At 52.2% G+C, this 17,478-nt stretch overlaps 1 protein-coding gene and 1 long non-coding RNA gene across 14 annotated transcripts in view, besides 3 other annotated features; one reads left to right on the forward strand and one right to left on the reverse strand.

The window, feature by feature from the left end:
• Positions 1-2,194: 2,194 nt before the first annotated feature.
• Positions 2,195-11,882, reverse strand: LOC105376225 (uncharacterized). The gene is made up of 5 exons (XR_930256.3): positions 10,709-11,882; positions 10,454-10,611; positions 10,207-10,301; positions 4,115-4,227; positions 2,195-2,669 (listed from the first exon to the last, which is right to left on the reverse strand). It is a non-coding gene; the product is annotated as an uncharacterized LOC105376225 (long non-coding RNA).
• Positions 10,958-11,479: an enhancer, noted in NCBI's record as "H3K4me1 hESC enhancer chr9:116915624-116916145 (GRCh37/hg19 assembly coordinates)". NCBI's record gives its function as "activates a minimal SCP1, AML or CMV promoter by ChIP-STARR-seq in primed H9 embryonic stem cells {active_cell/tissue: H9 hESC(primed)}" and the evidence as "EXISTENCE:reporter gene assay evidence [ECO:0000049][PMID:30033119]".
• COL27A1 (collagen type XXVII alpha 1 chain) overlaps positions 11,712-17,478 on the forward strand; it is a 158,414-nt gene continuing 152,647 nt past the window's right edge. For 11 of the 13 annotated variants that reach the window (XR_929860.4, NM_032888.4, XM_011519140.2 and 8 more), the window contains exon 1: positions 13,151-13,626. Coding sequence is in view for 12 of the 13 variants with exons in the window: in NM_032888.4 (NP_116277.2) it covers positions 13,565-13,626 (62 nt within the window). In the remaining variant the exon portion in view is untranslated. Of the gene's footprint in view, positions 11,985-13,150; positions 13,627-17,478 lie in introns of those variants that run through there. The other 2 variants (XM_011519138.3, XM_047423992.1) reach the window with 1 other exon arrangement.
• Positions 13,016-13,135: a silencer, noted in NCBI's record as "silent region_20209". NCBI's record gives its function as "represses an Ori minimal core promoter by ATAC-STARR-seq in GM12878 lymphoblastoid cells {active_cell/tissue: GM12878}" and the evidence as "EXISTENCE:reporter gene assay evidence [ECO:0000049][PMID:35858748]".
• Positions 14,023-14,317: a silencer, noted in NCBI's record as "tiled region #14358; K562 Repressive non-DNase unmatched - State 20:ReprD". NCBI's record gives its function as "represses a minimal TATA promoter and a strong SV40 promoter by Sharpr-MPRA in K562 cells {active_cell/tissue: K562}" and the evidence as "EXISTENCE:reporter gene assay evidence [ECO:0000049][PMID:27701403]".

Raw genomic sequence — 17,478 nt, forward strand, 5'->3', positions numbered from 1 at the left:
TCCAGAGGCAGGAGCTCTGAGGCCTGGGGGCTCAGGGATGGCTGCCTCTCTGCGACTTCTCACCCCTGGTCCTGGTGGAGTCTCCACTTTCCAGACTCATTTTCCCTTCATTGTTTCCCCAGGCTGGAGGCGTCTGCAGATCAGCCCTGGTCAAAATGCCCAGCACAGGAGCTGGCTTCCATAGGTCAGGGGCAGAGTAATCTTTGCTGAACTGGAAGAGCTAAAACTCAAAAACTAACACCTGTCCCTGGTTAATAGCCAAGGATGACTTTCATCAGTGTGTCTTATTTTGTGGGCAAAGAAACTGGGTGATTGGTTCATCCATCTGCTCATCCACTTCCTCACTGGACAATAGTTACTAAGCACCTACTGTGTGCCAAGTCCTAGGAACACAAAAATGGATTCCTGTCCTTAAACTTCACAAGTTGGTGGGGGAGACAGCTATACTGAAATTAATTGTAACAGTGTGATATGGGCTATTAGGTCAGGACTAGGATGAGAAGAGGTGAATAAGACACTTACCTCAGGGTCAAATTCAGTGTGGTGCCAAAATCCAAAATCTCAGTAAACAAGATAAATAATATTTTAATACCGTTTTTTTTTTTTTGAGACGGAGTTTCACTCTTGTGCCCCAGGCTGGAGTGCGATGGTGCAATCTCGGCTCACTGCAACCTCCGCCTCCCAGGTTCAAGCGATTCTTCTGCCTTGGCCTCCCAAGGAGCTGGGATTATATGCGCGCGCCACCACATCTGGCTAATTTTTTGTATTTTTGGTAGAGACGGGGTTTCACCATGTTGGACAGGCTGGTCTCAAACTCCTGACCTCAGGTTATCCACCCCGCTCAGCCTCCCAAAGTGCTGGGATTATAGGCATGAGCCACCGCGCCCAGCCGAGATCAAACTTTTAAATGAAGACAGGATCAGTGTTATTAATTTTTCCTTTTGCTTCAGGCTCCAACATGGCTTGGCATGGCACTGTATTATGAGGGCTGTATGGGGGTGTGGCTGCTGTGAGACAGAAAAGACATCTGATCCAGTCAGTGATGTGCTGGAATTGGCCCAGACCAGCTGGCACGCCTCTTCCCAAATTTACTCTCAAAGACTGCATGTTGTCAGCTCAAAATTGGCCACGATGGGCATCTTTACACCATGGAAATTGGCAGATGCTAAAAATAAGGACTTTTTCCCTCCCTTTTCAGAAAGTTGGCTGTTAAATATTTACCAACACACTGCTATATGCAGCCTGCAGTGGGGTGGGATGAGGCAGGTGTGGGGGATTTAAGAAAGGTTCCCCAGAGGAGATACTTTCTGACTCTTGCAGAATAAAAATCTAGAAAAGGAGAGAAAAAACATCCCCCCTACCCTAGCCAAAGAAGGAAATTAATATGCAAAGCACCAGAGGAATGGGAAAACCTGTATTTTATTTAAGAAACTGCAAGGAGCTGAGTGTAGCTGGAATGTGTGATGCTGTGGAAGAAGGAAGTTTTGAGGAGGCCACGGCACCAAATCATGACCCCAAATTGAGCAAGATCTGGGTCTATGCTCAAGGGATTCGACTGTAGATCCAGTGGAGAAGGAGGGAGGGAGCTGCTTCTGAATTGTCCACAGTACTGGCCTAGGTAAGAGATGGAAGTGTGAGCTAATAAATGTTTTTAGAAGGAGTTTCGCTCTTGTTGCCCAGGCTAGAGTGCAATGGCTCAATCTTAACTCACCGCAACCTTCGCCTCCCAGGTTCAAGCGATTCTCCGGCCTCAGCCTCCCGAGTAGCTGGGACTACAGGCATGCGCCAGTATGCCTGGCTAATTTTGTATTTTTGGTAGAGACGGGGTTTCTCCATGTTGGTCAGGCTGGTCTCAAACTCCCGACCTCAGGTGATCCGCCTGCCTCGGCCTCCCAAAGTGCTGGGATTACAGGCGTGAGCCACTGTGCCCAGGTGCTAATAAATGCTTAATACCAGGGTCTCTGGGGGGAAAAGAGCCCTAATTAATAGCATTTGCTAATTTCTGAGGTGTAAATACTCCCATCACAGCCTGTTTGAAGCTACCTTGGTGAGGTCACTAAACACCAAGTTGAGAAGAGGTGCTTGGTAGCGTGTCATTATATTGAATTTCCACCCCCACACTTACAGTAGATGTAAATAACTTCAAGCCTATAGAAAACAGTAAAATATAGTAAAATAACTTGAAAGAGATGAGTTTGGGGTATGTATCACTTTTACTTTTAATATAACTGACCTAATTGTAAGTTTACACAATTAAAGTTTTAATAATGGCTTGTTTAACAGCAGCTCACACGATTCTTGAAAATTTAGCCGTCTGTCCTCTTGAGCTTATTCCAGGTTTCTCCCCCTGGGAGAAGGGATTTTGGTCCATTTCTATGGAAGTGCTGGGGGCTCTCAGATGTCCTGGGCTTCATTTTACTAACCCGAGGGACTAGAGCAGGTTTACCATGAAGTCCTAAGGATCCCACACATCCAAGACTCTGGGTGGCTTCCTGGGATAAGGCAGCAGTCCCCAGGACACCAAAGTTAAGAGCAAATGCTTCTCAGAGAGATTTTCATCCAGGAAAAAGAACAGTGTGATGCCAGCTTTGGCATAATATTTCATGTCCTCATCAGCTGTTCACTTCAAGAATGCTGTTTTATTCGGAAGCCACTGGCACCTAAACCATCTGAGAAAACAATAATAACGATAGTAGTAATAAATACAACCTATATTTATTTGACTTTTTCCATGCACTAGACACTGTTCTAACTGCTTCATATATAATAGCTTACTTAATCGTCAAATCCTAGGCACAAGGTAGATATTATTATTAAGATACCAATGTAAAAGATGAGGATGCTATTATTATCATCACAATTCAAAAGGTGGAGAAACTTGGGTACAAAGAGTTAAACAGCACACCCAAGACCATAGAGCCAGAGATGGAAACTGGGATTTGCACCAGGTAGCCTGCTATTAGCTACTATCCACATGGACCACAAGGGCGGCAAGAGAGAAGGAAAGTGCTTTTGCAGTCCAAGGCAACCAGAGGAGACCCCATTAGCTTGAGGGGCATATTGTGCCAAGATCAGCTGGATTTGACCTGATAGCTCACCTCCCAGGGACTGGTGAAGTTGGGAGAAATGAATAGTTACCATGGACGTGCATGTCAGTTCCCCCAATTTTGTAGGTGAGGCAAAGGCTCAGAGAGGTAAAGGGAGTCTGTTTCTCAAGGTCCTATGGCTACTATAAGGTGGTGCTGTGTGTCAACTTGGCCGCACCCTGCAACCAGCCTCAGGCAATGGGCTTCATATGAAATCATAACCCCTCCTAGATATCTGGATAGGTGAGACCCCAAATAGGAATCTGGTTGCAGAAATACCCCTCAATGATACATTAGCCAATCTAAGAGGGAGAGGAGTGGTATTGCCCACCTCTGATTACCTATTAGAGCATTTGTTGTCATCTCTCTTTCTAAAAATTTTTTAAAAAAATATTTTGAGACAGAGTCTTGTGCTGTCACCCAGGCTGGAGTGCAGTGGTGTGATCTCGGCTCACTGCAATCTCCGCCTCCCAGGTTCAAGCGTTTCTCCTGCCTCAGCCTTCTGAGCAGCTGGAATTACAGGCATGCACCACCATTGCCTGGCTAACTTTTGTATTTTTAGTAGAGACGGGGTTTCACCATGTTGGCAGGCTGGTCTCGAACTCCTCACCTCAAGTGATCCACCTTCCTCAGCCTCCCAAAGTGCTGGGATTACAGGCGTGAGCCACTGCACTCAGCCTGTCATCTCCCATTTGCTTGTATAAACGCCTGAGGCTGTGGTAGGATCCTGCCCTAAGGATAGCAATTAGGGCTTGGCTGCAAGGAAGGCCCACAGGACTCAAAATGACAATGTGTACACACCTACAGTTCTTTCAGGAAAAGGGTACAACATTGCAACTGCATTAACGTAAGAATCTGCTTCACAGCTAAAGACCACCTCATAGCAAGGGGTCTGGAGAGGCCAGGCGTGAGCCCGCATTGTCCTCCCCTTGAAAGGCCATACCAATATGCACTTCCTCTCTCAGATCAGAAGCACAGACGTGAGTATGGAATACCTAGAACCCAGGAGCCCCACATGGGAGTCTCACCTGAAGTTTTTCATTCCTGTTTGGTCATTTGAGGTATATTCTTGCTACGAAACCAGCGCCAGTGGCAGTTCCCTCCAGGGGTCTCACGAAGGCCAGGTACAAATTGTTAGTCCCTTGTTATTAGAAAACAATGCTGACAAGTTGGCACGAACCACCCTGAAACTCCTCTAAGCAACACTATTTATCTGTATGTTTCATGCCTTAACAAGGTCATGCAGTCACAGACCCTTAAGCCACATATTCAATAAGCATTAATCCAGATAGGCGAAAAGGATAGATGATACTTAATAAGGACTCCACTCGGGGACAAAACTTTACTGCACCAGAGAAGGCACATGAGAAAATCTTAGGAGTTTCTAATGGTCATCAGCTCAGTGTGAATGTTGTGGTGTGGTCGTCAAAAAAGCTAACATGCACTCAGGTTGCATTAACAGGAGCATAGATTATATATGGGAGGAGGTGATAGTCTTGCTCAACTCTGTGCTAGCCAGATGCCACCCAAACCCTCGAGCTTTGCTGTGGTCACTTGGCAGTAGTTGGGTACTGACTGCAATGCGCTTGGAGGAGACAATGATGGAAGATATGAAAGGGGTACCAGATGAGGAGTGATTAGCGGAAGTGAGAATGCTGGGACTGGAAAAAGGAGGGCTTGTGGGGAAGGCAAGGGTGTTACTTTCAGAGAGTGACTGGAGCCACACAGTCAGGCTTCAGCTGATTCCAGAGTTGCATTTCTCGATAGTCACTGTAAAAGGAGCTCTAGCATGATAACAGTTGGAGATGCATCTGAAAAGCTCTTTGCAGAAATGGCTTCTTGGATGGGAGGCATAGTGGGGTGTGTGTGTGTGGCTCCTCTGTCCTCATTTTGTGACAAGGGGAAGCATCCAACTTTTCCTGGAACTACCCGCAAGCAGTAGTGTATCACATTGCGTGGTCTGGGCATGGGGTAATGAGGCAGCCAAGATCTTGGAGTGCAGATTGCAGCTAGAGGAGGGAGAATGATGTCTCTCTAACACAGTTGACTCTCCAATGTGGCTGACAGCAGATTTGCCACATAAGAGTTGACTGACCACATCATGGAACCAACCAGGCACTGGACTGGGTGAATTTTCAACTCTGAAATTCACTTAGTGGTTCCGTCACCGGCTGTCGCTGACTGGCTACTCCTTGCATTGTGAAGGGAATTCATCCCCTGCTTATGCGCGTGCGTGCACACACACACTCCCATACACACACACACGCACACACACACACACACACACACACACACAGGAGTCTTGGTATAGTGTAATGAACACTGGACTTAGGGCCACAGTTCTAGTCCCAGTTTTGTCACCTTGCTGCTGGCTGAACTTGGGCAAGACCCTTTGTTTTGGATTTGGTTTATTCATCTCTAAATCAGAGATGCAGATATCTGTCTTGTCAACCTGATGGGGTTGTTGCATGGCAACCCAAAATGCTAAATGTGACATTGTTTCAGCCATGAATGGAGGAAGGGATTATTATTTTATTATCACTGTCATTGCGATCCCCTGGTCTGTTTGGTACAGACCAAAGTTTTTGTTCCATTGATATATAAGCTAGGATGCTTTCAGCTGCCAGTGGGGAAAAGCTCAACTAAAAGTGGCATCAACAATGAGGGACACTTGTTTTGAAAAAGGTCAGTCCAACAGTGCCTAATTCAGCATCTCAATAATGTTTTTAAGAATCCCATTCTTTCTTTCCTTTTTTTTTTTTTTTTTTTTTTTTAAGATGGAGTCTCGCTCTCTTGCCCAGGCTGGAATACAGTGGCGCAATCTCATCTCACTGCAACCTCTACCTCCTGAGTTCAGGCGATTCTCCTGCCTTGGCCTCTCAGGCAGCTGGGATTACAGGCGTGCACCACCACGCCCAGCTAATTTTTGTATTTTTGGTAGAGACGGAGTTTCACCATGTTGGCCAGGCTGGTATCGAACTTTTGACCTCAAGTGTTCCCCCCACCTCAGCCTCCCAAAGTGCTGGGATTACAGGCGTGAGCCACTGCACCCAGCCAGGATCCCATTCTTTCTGCCTTTCCTCTTGGCCACCCTCAGTCTGTTGGCCATGGACCTAGGGCTTGTCACCTCATAGTGGCAAGATGACTGCAGCCTCTCCACACAGTACAATCTCATCCCCCAAAGTCCAAAGGGCAGAAAGGGACATGTCGCTGGTCTGTGTCCACTTGTAAAGGTGGGGAAAACTTTCTCAGAAGGCCTCAGCATATGCAATTCTTCTCATATCTCAGTGGCCCGACTGTGTCTAGTGTCCATGACCAAGCCACTCACTGGCCAGAGGAAGGAGGCCACCATGCTAGGCTTTGTTCAAATAGGGTTCAACCCTTGGGGTTTGGGAGGGACACGGTCTCCACTGAAGGACAAAGAGGTTGGATGAAGATGAAACTCTGTTAGCAAGGACACAACAACAGTGTCCGCCCCTGTTGCAGGGATGTCCTTGGATGATGGTCAACCCACCCCCAGCTCTGCCTCTCTTCCCTCCCTCCTTCCTTCCCTGATTCTTCCCTCCCTTCTTTCCTTTGTCCATCTAAGATTTACTGAGGGGTTCTATGGACATAAGACATAGCCGTAGCCTTGCAGGGCTCCCTGTTGTATAGGTGTGTGGTGTACCAGGCAGGATGGGGGCTGGCATGGCAGAGCGGAGGGAACACCGAGACAGGACTCCAGTGAAGAAGAGCAGGAAGGGCATTTCTAGGCGGAGGTGGCCACAGGAGCCAAGGCCTGAAATCATCAGTTGCTTTCATCCCCACCCTGGGCTGCTGGGGGTGGCCCAGAACTCATCACTAATGGCTTGTCTGGTATAGCCAATGGTTCCGGACACATTACCGGGCAGAGGCCAGAGACCTTAACTTGCCACAGTGCTCACATCTGGAAAATGGATCTAATTCTTCCAAGGATGACTAACTGTGCTGAAGGCTGGAGAGACAGGTTTGACCCTCTGCGGTTAGACACAAAGGTGGGGGGCCCTGCTTCTTCACACCAGCCCCACCATTAACTTTGTGTGGCTTTGAGAAAATCATGAATGCTATCTCTGAGACTCAGTTTCCCCACCTGTAAAATGAGGAATTTGGGCTAGGCAGCTCCATAGGTTCCTCCAGGTCTGAAAAGTCTCACGGGGCCCCACATCTGGGTCAGTGTTGGCCACCATAAGTGGGCTTTGGATCTCACAGCCCTTTGCCACTTGGCCTAGCCCTTGGGAAATAAACCCAGAGAGGGGAAGAGGCAGAAGGGCCCAGATGGTGGGACCATGTGCCTAGAAGGTGCTGCCCTCCCAATGGTGGCCTGGGAGCTTCTTTGACCTCTGCCCTTATTCCTTCTGGTAGAGTGATTGTGTTTGGAATTTTGGCAGCCACCAGGCCAGAGTGACGTAGTCCTGCAGGCAGAACCCAGGCCCTAGGAGACCAGTGGGCCATGAGGACAGCCAGCACTGACTCCAGCCACCTGCCCTGGGGAGAGAAATGGGCCCACATTGCCTGGAGGGGGTGAGAGAGACACTATTAGAATCTGCCTCACTCCAGCCTGGAATTCAGTTCATTTTACCAAAATGCTTTGTCCTGGGTGTTAGGAATACCGCCATGAGCAGGGCAGAGCAGCTCCTGCCCTCAGGGAATGTAAGGTCTACATTTAACCAAGGAATTACAGGAATGAAAAGTCAGTGGGGACCCATTCTTGCCTTCCCATGGTTCTTCTGCTGAACGTGACTCACTCGCTCATTTCTTTCCCCCCATTCTTTCTGTCCTGCTTAAACATCACCTCCTCAGAGAAGGTGATATTTAAATAAAATAGCCCCTATTTAAATAAAATGGCCCCACTCATCATTCTGCCACTCCACGCCCTGCTTAGAGGTCTTCATAGCACTCATTACAACCTGATGTCATATAACAGATTTGTGTATTTCCTCTTCCTCTGTTAAGACAGATGCTTTGTGTGTATGCTCTTCAGTATATCTACAGCACCTAAAATCGGGTCTTCCATATGCTTTGGGTCTGCACGTGCCTAACAAATATCTGTTGGTGGGTGAGGGTCATCATGGAGGAGAGGGAGGAGGTGGCAGCGGGGGTTAACCTGGTCTAATCTGCTGAATTTACTTTCTTTCATGTTTTCATTCAGGCCTTCATTCCGTCATTCGCTCAGCACTTGTGGAGAACTTCCTATGTGCCAGGCACTGTGCTTTGTGTTGTTGTCAGAAGCTAAACAAGGCAGCCGCGTCCAGCAGGGACCACAGCTTGTATTTGCCAGTGGCCAGCTCAGGGCCTGATGCGTGACAGCATCTCCCTACCAGGGAAAGAATGACTCCATGGTTAGACATGTATTGTGTGCGTATCCTTTGCTACACGCAGGGTGGGGCCGCCAAATGAAAGAAAGACCCAGCCTGGTATGCCCACAGCAGTGCAGGGTATTGGAAAGACTGGCAGACTCTAGCTCTTCTCCTAGTGGGAGGAATCTGGTTCTCCTCCAAGCCCTGCAGTACCACTTAAACAGGCTTGATTTGAGGCAGGACTTCCTGACCTGCATTTTTTATCTGTCTTTCTCTTTGCTGGCCTCCTTCCTCAGACCATAGCGCTTCTAGAGCAGAAAACCCAGCCTGGTGCACAGTGGGTCTTCAGAAGCAGCTTGGTGGGTAAACGGACGTGGATTGATACTTGGGGCAGTATGCAACCTCTGTCCTGCAGGTTAAGACTTCCTCTAGGGCCAGGTGCAGTGGCTCATGCCTGTAATCCCAGTACTTTGGGAGGCCAAGGTGGCAGTATTGCTGGAGCCCAGGAGTTCAAGACCAGCCTGGGCAACAAAGTGAGACCCTGTCTCTACCAAAAAACAAAACAAAACAAAACAAAACAAACACTTCATCTAGTGGTTCATTCATAAATATTTTGTGAGCATCTACTGTGTGCCCAACATTAAAGCTATTGCAACCAACAGCTTCTCCTAAGGCAGATGTGCCACAGAGACCGATGGGTCCATGGCTGAGCTGCTTGAGCAGGGAACAAACTATGTGTTCCCTGAAAGTCCCCACCAGGCCAGGAATTCTCATCCTGAGGCATCTACAGAGGCCTGGCAGCCCCTGCCCACCTGGTTCCCAGGCTTACTGCCTTCTGCCCCATAGAAATGGGCCCCTTAGGGCTGTTTGGTGAGTGTGCTGTCCCCTTTGAAGGGTGGGTAATGGCTTGGTGTCTTCCAGATTCAACGTCCATCAGAACAGTTCATGCCCAGTCACTGGCTCTGCGCCAAGAACCTGCCTGGCAGGAAGACTGCTTGTGGGGAGACGGCAGAGGCAGGATACAAGGCCCTTCCTTGGAATTCTCCCCAGTGTCCCTGCCTCCTCTTCTCAGCTGCCCATGAGCTCCTGGAAGGCCATGAGCCTCATTTCCCTCCCGACCTAGCAAAATGCAGTTAGCCCTCAATATTCACATACATAATTGGATTTCTTGTTGAAGGACAGTCTCATGCCTCCAAGCTCAAAGGGCCCACACAGATCATCACGTTTGATGCACCTATTTTACAGATGGGCAGAGTGAGGCTCTGAGAGGGGATGTCCTCAATCCTTTTGGGTTCTCATAGCATTCTCACGGGTCTTTTGGGCTGACCTGGGTGAAGCAGGCAGCATTCCCTGGCACTAAGCCTTGCCTATTCACATTTGTGAGTGAAATTTGGAAAGGCCTTGGTGCTTAGCCACTGACCTGCTGCCTGCCTGACCTTTCAGGAAATGCAGTCCCTTGCCTGGAAATGGCTTTGTGGACAGTGAGTCGTGTGGTATCACCCACACAATACAGTGGGGAGAACTGGACAGTTTCCCCAGTTTCTCACTGGGCCCCACCGCCTCAATCCTCCTTCAAAACCTGCCTGAAATCCAACTCTGTCCTCTTGGTCTTTTTGTGACTCTTTCACCGGAGATGTCCTTCTCCTCTGTGGCTGCACATTTATCCAACACACCCTTTAAGATCCAAATGCCACCTCCTCCTGGGGGCCTTCCTCGGTTTCTTTCCATCCCTTAATCAGCTTCACAATTCAATTGATCTGCATCTCTTTGGTGGCATTTATCACATTCTCCTTATATTATCTTACCTTTATGCAGTTGCAGGGGGTTCTCCATGACATAGTGATGTCTGATGTCTCCCATCCAGACTCTCTTCCCTACCCCAAGTTGCTGTGCGTGTCTCCTGTCCACATTACAAATGCGTGCATGACCAGAAGGCAGGACCATATGGAAATTTTTGTCCCTGCCCCCACAGTGGCAGACCCTTTTCCCCCAGAGTCTTGTACAGGGGTTTGCATACTGTAGGAGTTAAAACAAATAACTTATTTAAATTACCAACGGTTTGAGCATCTATTGTATCCCAGGCTCCATGTGTCAGGCTGGGTGTGGGGACACAGAGATGGATCTGACAATGACAGCGCCATGTGATGTGTGCTGCAATCCCGGTGTAGGGCAGAGCAGCTCACCAGAGTCAGGTGAGCTCTGGCCTGCACCTAGAAGAATAACCAGGTTGTGAACAGGCAGAAAAGGGGCAGAGGGAGAACCTGGGAGGAAACAGTATGGAGAAAGCATCGAAGTAGTCAAGCTTACCTGAGCCTGGGTGCAGGTATCAGAGAGACTGGAGCTCAGGAGGCCGGATCTGAAGCTGGGGAGGCTGCTGAGGATCTGCACAGAACCCCTTAAAGCCTAAGATTTGGATCCTTATGACAAGATGCAGAAGTTTGGAGTTAGGTTACCTGGGTTCAAATCCCACCTCTACCACCTACCCGTTTATGTCAGCTTTCCCATCTGTAAATGGAGAGAAAAAAGCAGGCCTCCCTTAAACCCCAGCACTGTGTGGGTCAGGGTCTGGACTAGGGTGTGGCACATGCAGAGATGCAGCATACCAGGAGATGCCAAGAAAACTCAGCAACGGAGGTAAATTGCCCAAAGCAGTGCCCCAAACCCCTAAGTAATCAAAATAATATTTTAATTTTTTACTTTTAAAATATTTTTAAAAGTATCAAAATTAATGCAAAACCCCACAATGAACAAAATATCTAAAATGTAAATAAAGACAGGGTCTGCATGGTACCAAGTATGCAACTAAAAAAACATCAGTTATGATTGAAGAGGGAGTTCTCAACCTTAGGGGGCCGTGGACTTCTGAAAACCGGAGGAAAGCCCACGGCCCCTCTCCCCTGAAGAATGCACAAACATGCTCAATTTGTGCACAGTTTGGGGGTGTTCCTGCACTCCCTGGGGTTCGTGCACATGGAAGTTAAGAACTCTGGTTCAACATTGGGGGTGCGGGGGTGGCGGGGGTGGTTCCACGCGCCGGCCAGCAGCCTGCCAGTTCCCCAGTCCCGCGACTGGCCTCCCTCCTGGCAGCCATGGGTGCTCTGCCCTCTGCAGGAAGCAGCGCACAGCTATGCAGCTCCCCCAACCCCCCTACCTCCCCTCTCTCGGCTTGGGACTTTTCCTAAAGTTTGTTGAAACCAGACACCTTGCTCGACCGAGCCCGCGTGCAGCCAGGGTTTAAAAGGCCGCCTTCAGCGCCCCCTCCCCGCCCCCAGCGGAGACTTCAAAAGGCCCGGCGGGCGCCGCCGCCCCAGCACCTATGAGCCGCCCCCAGCTCTCGGAGCCCGCGCCGGAGCCCGTGGACGCAGAGCTGCCGAAGTTCGAGCGCAGGCGGACCGGGTCGGCGGCGCAGTCCCGCGCGCCCATGCCCCTCCCGGTGCCGCTGCGCTCCGCGCGCCCGCGCCCCGTTTAGGGAAGGGGACCTCGCCCCCCGCCCCCGCGCCCACGGCTGCGGGGACCCATGAATACAAATGCCGTTAGGCGCCGGAGGAAGGACCGACCGGCCAGCCTCGCACGTAGGGACCCAGTAAGTGCTTGGGGGCTCCTGGAGCGGTGCGAAGTGTTATATGCCTGTGTGTGCGCGCGCCTAAAGGTGTGCGCGTATGGGGAGGTGGGTACACGCGTGAGGAGTGAATGCGTGTGTGCACATGTGCGGTGGGCACTCTCGGAGAACTGTGTGCAAGTGAGGGTGTGCGCGCGTGTGTCCACCCGGGGTGTGTACATGTGTGGGGGCGATATGGCCAGGATAGCGTGCATTTGTGCCTGTGTAAGCATCCGTGTGCATGCTTCTGCGAGTGTAGAGTATCAGCGTGCGCCTGAGCCCAGATATCTGAGGATGCGTTTCGTGTGAACCTAGGAAGGGTGCGTGGCTGTCCCAGAATGGGACCGTGTGTGAGCGTGTGTCTGAGTTTGGGGAAAGGGTGGATACGTGTGGGAGTGTGTGTGTGCACCGGTGAATAAGTGTAACTTTGCTCGTGAACGAGTGGCAAGAGGTGGTAGAGGCGGAGGGAGCTGTGGTCCCAGGGCTGGACTGGAGTTTTGGGTGTGAGAATTTGCCCGGGGGCCAAGGTGTGCAGCTCTTAGCTCCCGGATGGGATCCGAGGGAGTTTTTGTCGATTCTGGGGAGGTGCGTGGTTAGTGGTGGTGGTGGGGTGCGGTTAGATTCCAATTGCTGACAGAAGGGAGAGAGAGGGTGGCAAACCCTTAACAAGCCCACCCTATATGTTCTCCAGGGCGCTCCGAGTCTGGGAGCGCAAACTTTTGGTGGGCGGTGGGGATCACGATACTGGTTGTCGTGGGCGTCTGGACACCAAGTTCTGGTCCTAGCTCCGTCCCTGAAACTGTGGGTTTCTTCCAGGAGTAGAATTTGGCCCTTCTCCCCTACCCCAACCCCCCATTGGAGGACCCCCAGCCTCACCAGTCAGAAGTTCCTAATCTCAGAACGGTGATCAAATCACCGTGAAGCCCTGGGCAGCCCCTTCCTCTCTGTGAATCTGTTTCCCCATCTATACAAGGAGGAGGGGGGCGGGTGTCCCATCGGGGCTGTAGTGGGCCAGCTGAGGCTGTACCCTTGGCTCCGGCCGGCAGGGGGCAGCAGGGGGCAGCAGAGGGCGGCCGGGAGCGGGGAGGAGGGAAGGTGGAGAGCCACCGCGGGCCGAGACTTTAAATCGCCTTCATTTCCCCCAAATCCTTCCTTTTCCTCTCCTCCCCCAGGCCGGCGGGGAGGCAGCTTCCACCGCCCTCCGCGCGCCCTCACCCGGCCTTGCTCTGCCTCCGGGGACCGCCAGCAGCCCGCCTCCAAAAGTTTGATCATCTCTCTCTCTCTTTTTCTTGCTTCTTCTTCCTTTTTGGTGGAAGCAGAAAAGGACCGAGGCAGGGGCGAGCGCGGCGCCCGGACTCCTGGGACCATGGGCCTGGCGCGGGCGCCCGCGGGGCCCCAGCCGCGCTGCCTGCCTGCTCGGGCGCCCCTGGGCGCGGGGCTGCGCTGGGGGCGCGGGGGCCGCGCGCTCTAAGCCGGCCTGGCGCGGCGGGGCGGGGGGCTGGCGGCCCCATGGGGCGCGCCCACACTTGCCCCCCGGGCTCGGGAGCATGAAGTAGGGGCCTGCCATGGGAGCGGGATCGGCGCGGGGGGCCCGAGGCACAGCGGCGGCGGCGGCGGCGCGCGGGGGGTGAGTACGAACTCGGGGACGCCCCCTCCCTAGCTTCCTGCTGCTCCAATCTCGGGGAGGGCCGGGGTTCCCCGCCATGCGGTCGCTTCCAGCGGAACGTCAGCTTCCTGCCCCTTCCTGCGCCCCCGCGAGGCGGGACGCCAAGGGTTAATAGGGGCTGCGCCCCCGGCCGGGCGAGAGTTGGCGAACGCTGCCCGCCCTGCCGCGCCTGGCCCGGCTGCCCGATCCCGTTGGGGCGGGGGCAGAGCCAGCCCGGGGGTCGGGGGTGGGGGTGGGTGGTGGCGCCTGGAGCGGCCGGCGGGGTGCGGAGGGGGGCTTTTTGGATGCTTGGGGGAGGAGGGGGGTCTCCGTTTGGGGCCGTCTCGGTGTGTTCCGGTGTCTCAGTGTCTGCAGGTCCCAAGCCTGTACGTCTCCGTTTCTATCTGTTCTTGTGAAATTGTCCGCAAGTTTCTAGGTCACCAGGTCTCGGGTTCTGCTCCTGTCTCCGTGTCTGTGTGGCTCTGCACGTCCCCGCGTTTCTGGAAATCTCCGCGTGTTTGTGTTAGTCGGCCTGGGTCTGTGTGTCTGTGTTTCCTGCTTCTCGGTTCCTGTCCCTTTCACGTGTGTAAGAGAGAAAAAGTGAGAGCCAGCATGTCAGAGCAGAAAGGGCCCTGGGCGATCACTGTGCGGAACCCCTCAGTGTACAGATCGGGAGACAGGGCCGGAGAGGGGCAGGGACTCTCCCAGGAGCGGCTGCGCGGAGCTGGGGCCCAGAGGCTGGGATTCCCAGCGTGTGGAGTAGGAGTTGTAAGAGAGAGTGAGCCTGTGCTGGAGCCGGCGCAGCGTGTGGGTGTGTGTGGGAGCCAGCAGCATGCAAGCAGCCCGTTGGGGCCTGTGGACGGCGCTCCTCTCTTTCCATCCTGCCCCCAGGACACCAGGACACTCCCCAGAGGCTGTTAGGGCTGTAGCTGGGCCCTGCCCCCTTTGAGCTGGAGTCCGCGGGATGACACCCCCTCCTTTCTTCCCCATGTCTTGGAAAAAGCTGGCTGTTTGCGATTCCCCCGCCCCGCACCCCCTCACCACAACACACACACACACACACACACACACACATACGCGCGCGCGGCACCAGTGAGCACACTGCTGACTCATTTTCTCCAGAAGACCCTGCGCCAGGGTAGATGCCAGCAGTTGGGCAGAAAAGTGGTGCCAGGCGAGCACCCCATGGTGGGGCTCCAGCTGTGGGCAAGTGGGCAGTCAACACTGCTCGGAGGCCCAGTCTCTGCCTTCTCCTGCCTCCCTGCCTCCCTTGACATCACGTTGTCCTGCATCATGTGCGCTCTGGCGCCAGCATACCTCTGCTCTCCAGCATGCCTCTGCTCTCCAGCATGCCTCTGCTCCTGGACCCTTCTGGCCGGACCAAACTCCATGTCATGTCTATGGACACATCCCTGGCCTCTGCCTCCTTCTGTTTCCTCCCTGTACTCAGAACATTCTCCCTCTCCTGTGCCTCCACCAGCGCTGCGGACCCTCAGCAGCCAGCAGCCTCCTGGTGGTCTCTGTCCCTTTCTGAGCACACTCCCCTGTTCTTTGTTGGCATTTTCTCTCCTCCATCTCTGTCCAGGGACCCTCTTGATACCCACATGCCTGGCTTGGCTACGCAGAGTAACATATCCACTGGTGGTAGGGGACAGCAGTGAGACACTCACAGAATCATGTTGGTGGGAGGCAGGCGGCACCACAGGAGGGCCATGAGGCTTGCCATCAGGCAGGCTCGAGTTTGAATCCTAACTCTGCTGTGCCAGCTTGGGTGAGCCACTCTGCTGCTTGTTTTTCTCTTCCACAAAACCGGCACCTTATTCCTAGCTGGCTGGGTTTTGTGAAGATGAACAGGACCATGCTTGTAAAGGGCTTAGAACAGGGCCTGGCATGTAATAAGTGCTCAGTAAACGGCAGCTGGTATTTGTATTATTCCCTTCATGTTGAATGGGTGTGTGAGTCAATGGGAAAGTTCTGGGCTGCATCCTCTCCAGACGATGACCTGTCTGTGTTCCCATGGAGGACGTGGAAGCTGTGAAGAAAGCCCAGGCATAGCCGTCTGGGCACAGGGGGTCTGGCCAGTCCATGGAGGCAGGTGGGACAGGTCCACCCCACTTGATGAGCTGTAGTTCCAGCTAGCTCCCTTTTCAGCTTTTACCCCATGCGTGAACAGCCAAGCCTAGTGTCCACAGGGCCACTTTCCCTGTGTGTTTCTGTGGCCTGGGTCTCAGCTCAGAGCCCTCAGTGACTGTTGAAGCTGGTGTGGGTTTCTAAGATCCTGTGTGTTTCCAGGTAATAAGGATGGAAGAAAACTATCCAAGCAGTCTGCCGGTTCTGGCAGTGTGGTTACCCAGGAGTAGCCCCATTTGGTGCACTGGCAGAGGGCCTTTTGCAAGGGCATAGAAACACCTGGGTTTCCTCTTTGGAGGGCTGTGTGGCCAGACGATGTTTCCATGTGATGTTTCCTCGCGGCTCCCGTTTCGGCTGCCTCCTGGCCTCCCTGGCCTCTGTGCTCTGGTCTTCCTGACATTCTGGAGCCCTGGGTTTGCAGAGACAAGGCCCACAAGACAAGTGGTGAAAACAGAAGTCTGGAAGAACAAAGCCCTGAGCCAGCACAGGCACTAACCATGATTAGCAGTAGCCTAAACAGGATTGGAACGGGAGCAAAAGAATCGGCAGGGCCTCCCTCTGAGAGCCAACTTTCCAGGCCTGGAGCTGACTTAGATGGCTCGTTGGCTCCCTGGGTTGCATCTCTGTTCCTGCTGGTGAAGGCTGGGGCTCGGGTCTCTGGCAAGTAGGAAGTCCCTGCAAGTCTCCAATTTCTGCTCCATGGAGACAAGTCAAATGAAAAGGACTATCTGTTAAGTCATAGACTTGAAGCACTGTGTGACTTCGGGCAAGTAACTTGCCCTCTCTGGGCCTCAGTTACGCATCTTTTCAAAGAAGGGAGAGAGAGGACTAGAATCTGACCCCTAGATGATCTTAAATGGCCTTCTTCCACTCTGACATGCTCTATACTTGGGAAGTTTATGGGTCAAGTGCACACAGAATCCATTTCCAAGAGGGTCAGCTGCATTTGTCAGGGAGAATGAATGGAGGTTGAATACTTCTGTAATAGGCCTTCAGGGCTGAAGTCCTCAAGTTGGAAGCCATGGTGTTAGGAAGCTTAATTGAAGAGAAGATTCTGATTCCATGTCTCCTGTGGACTTCTTCTTCCTGATTTTCAGAGATTACAAGGATTTGCCCTCTAATTCTCTGCAGAGTAGTCATTTTGGTATAGCTGTAGCCAGGGAAACTGACCGAGAAGGACATGTGTCGTTTTTGTACCTTCTCTTCCCCACCTCGCCTTTCTTTATCAGTTTGGGAAACTTCCTAGGAAGTTTGGTATGTGACATAATCCAATGAAGGACTCAAGGAGTGAGGGCAGGTGCCAGACAAGGGCCAGGAAGAGAGGGGGCTGGAAGGAGATGGAACAGAAATAAATGGGATCGCAGGAACACAGGAAGGCAAGGGGTAGTCTCCTCTGAGGAGGCATTCATGGAAAAAATGATTCTAAATTTGGGGACTGCTGAATGACAGAAAGTACAGTCAACTTCTTTATTGCAGGATTTCTCCGAGCCTTTGATATACAGTTGTGCTTTCCGGATTGTCAAGACTGGGATGCAGGGTACAGCTCTTCCCTAATGTATCTGGCCAATTTCCTAGAAAGCATGTCCCTGGTGGGTGTGGGAAATACTACTGAAGAATTATGAGCCCAGACGTTGCCCAGGATGGAAGTACCTGCCTTCCCTGAGCCTTGGTATTCTCCGTTTGTGTAATTAAACAAAGCTGCCT

The sequence above is a fragment of the Homo sapiens genome, chromosome 9 (genome assembly GCF_000001405.40).
Source record: "Homo sapiens chromosome 9, GRCh38.p14 Primary Assembly".
In the NCBI taxonomy this organism is placed as follows: Eukaryota; Metazoa; Chordata; class Mammalia; order Primates; family Hominidae; genus Homo; species Homo sapiens.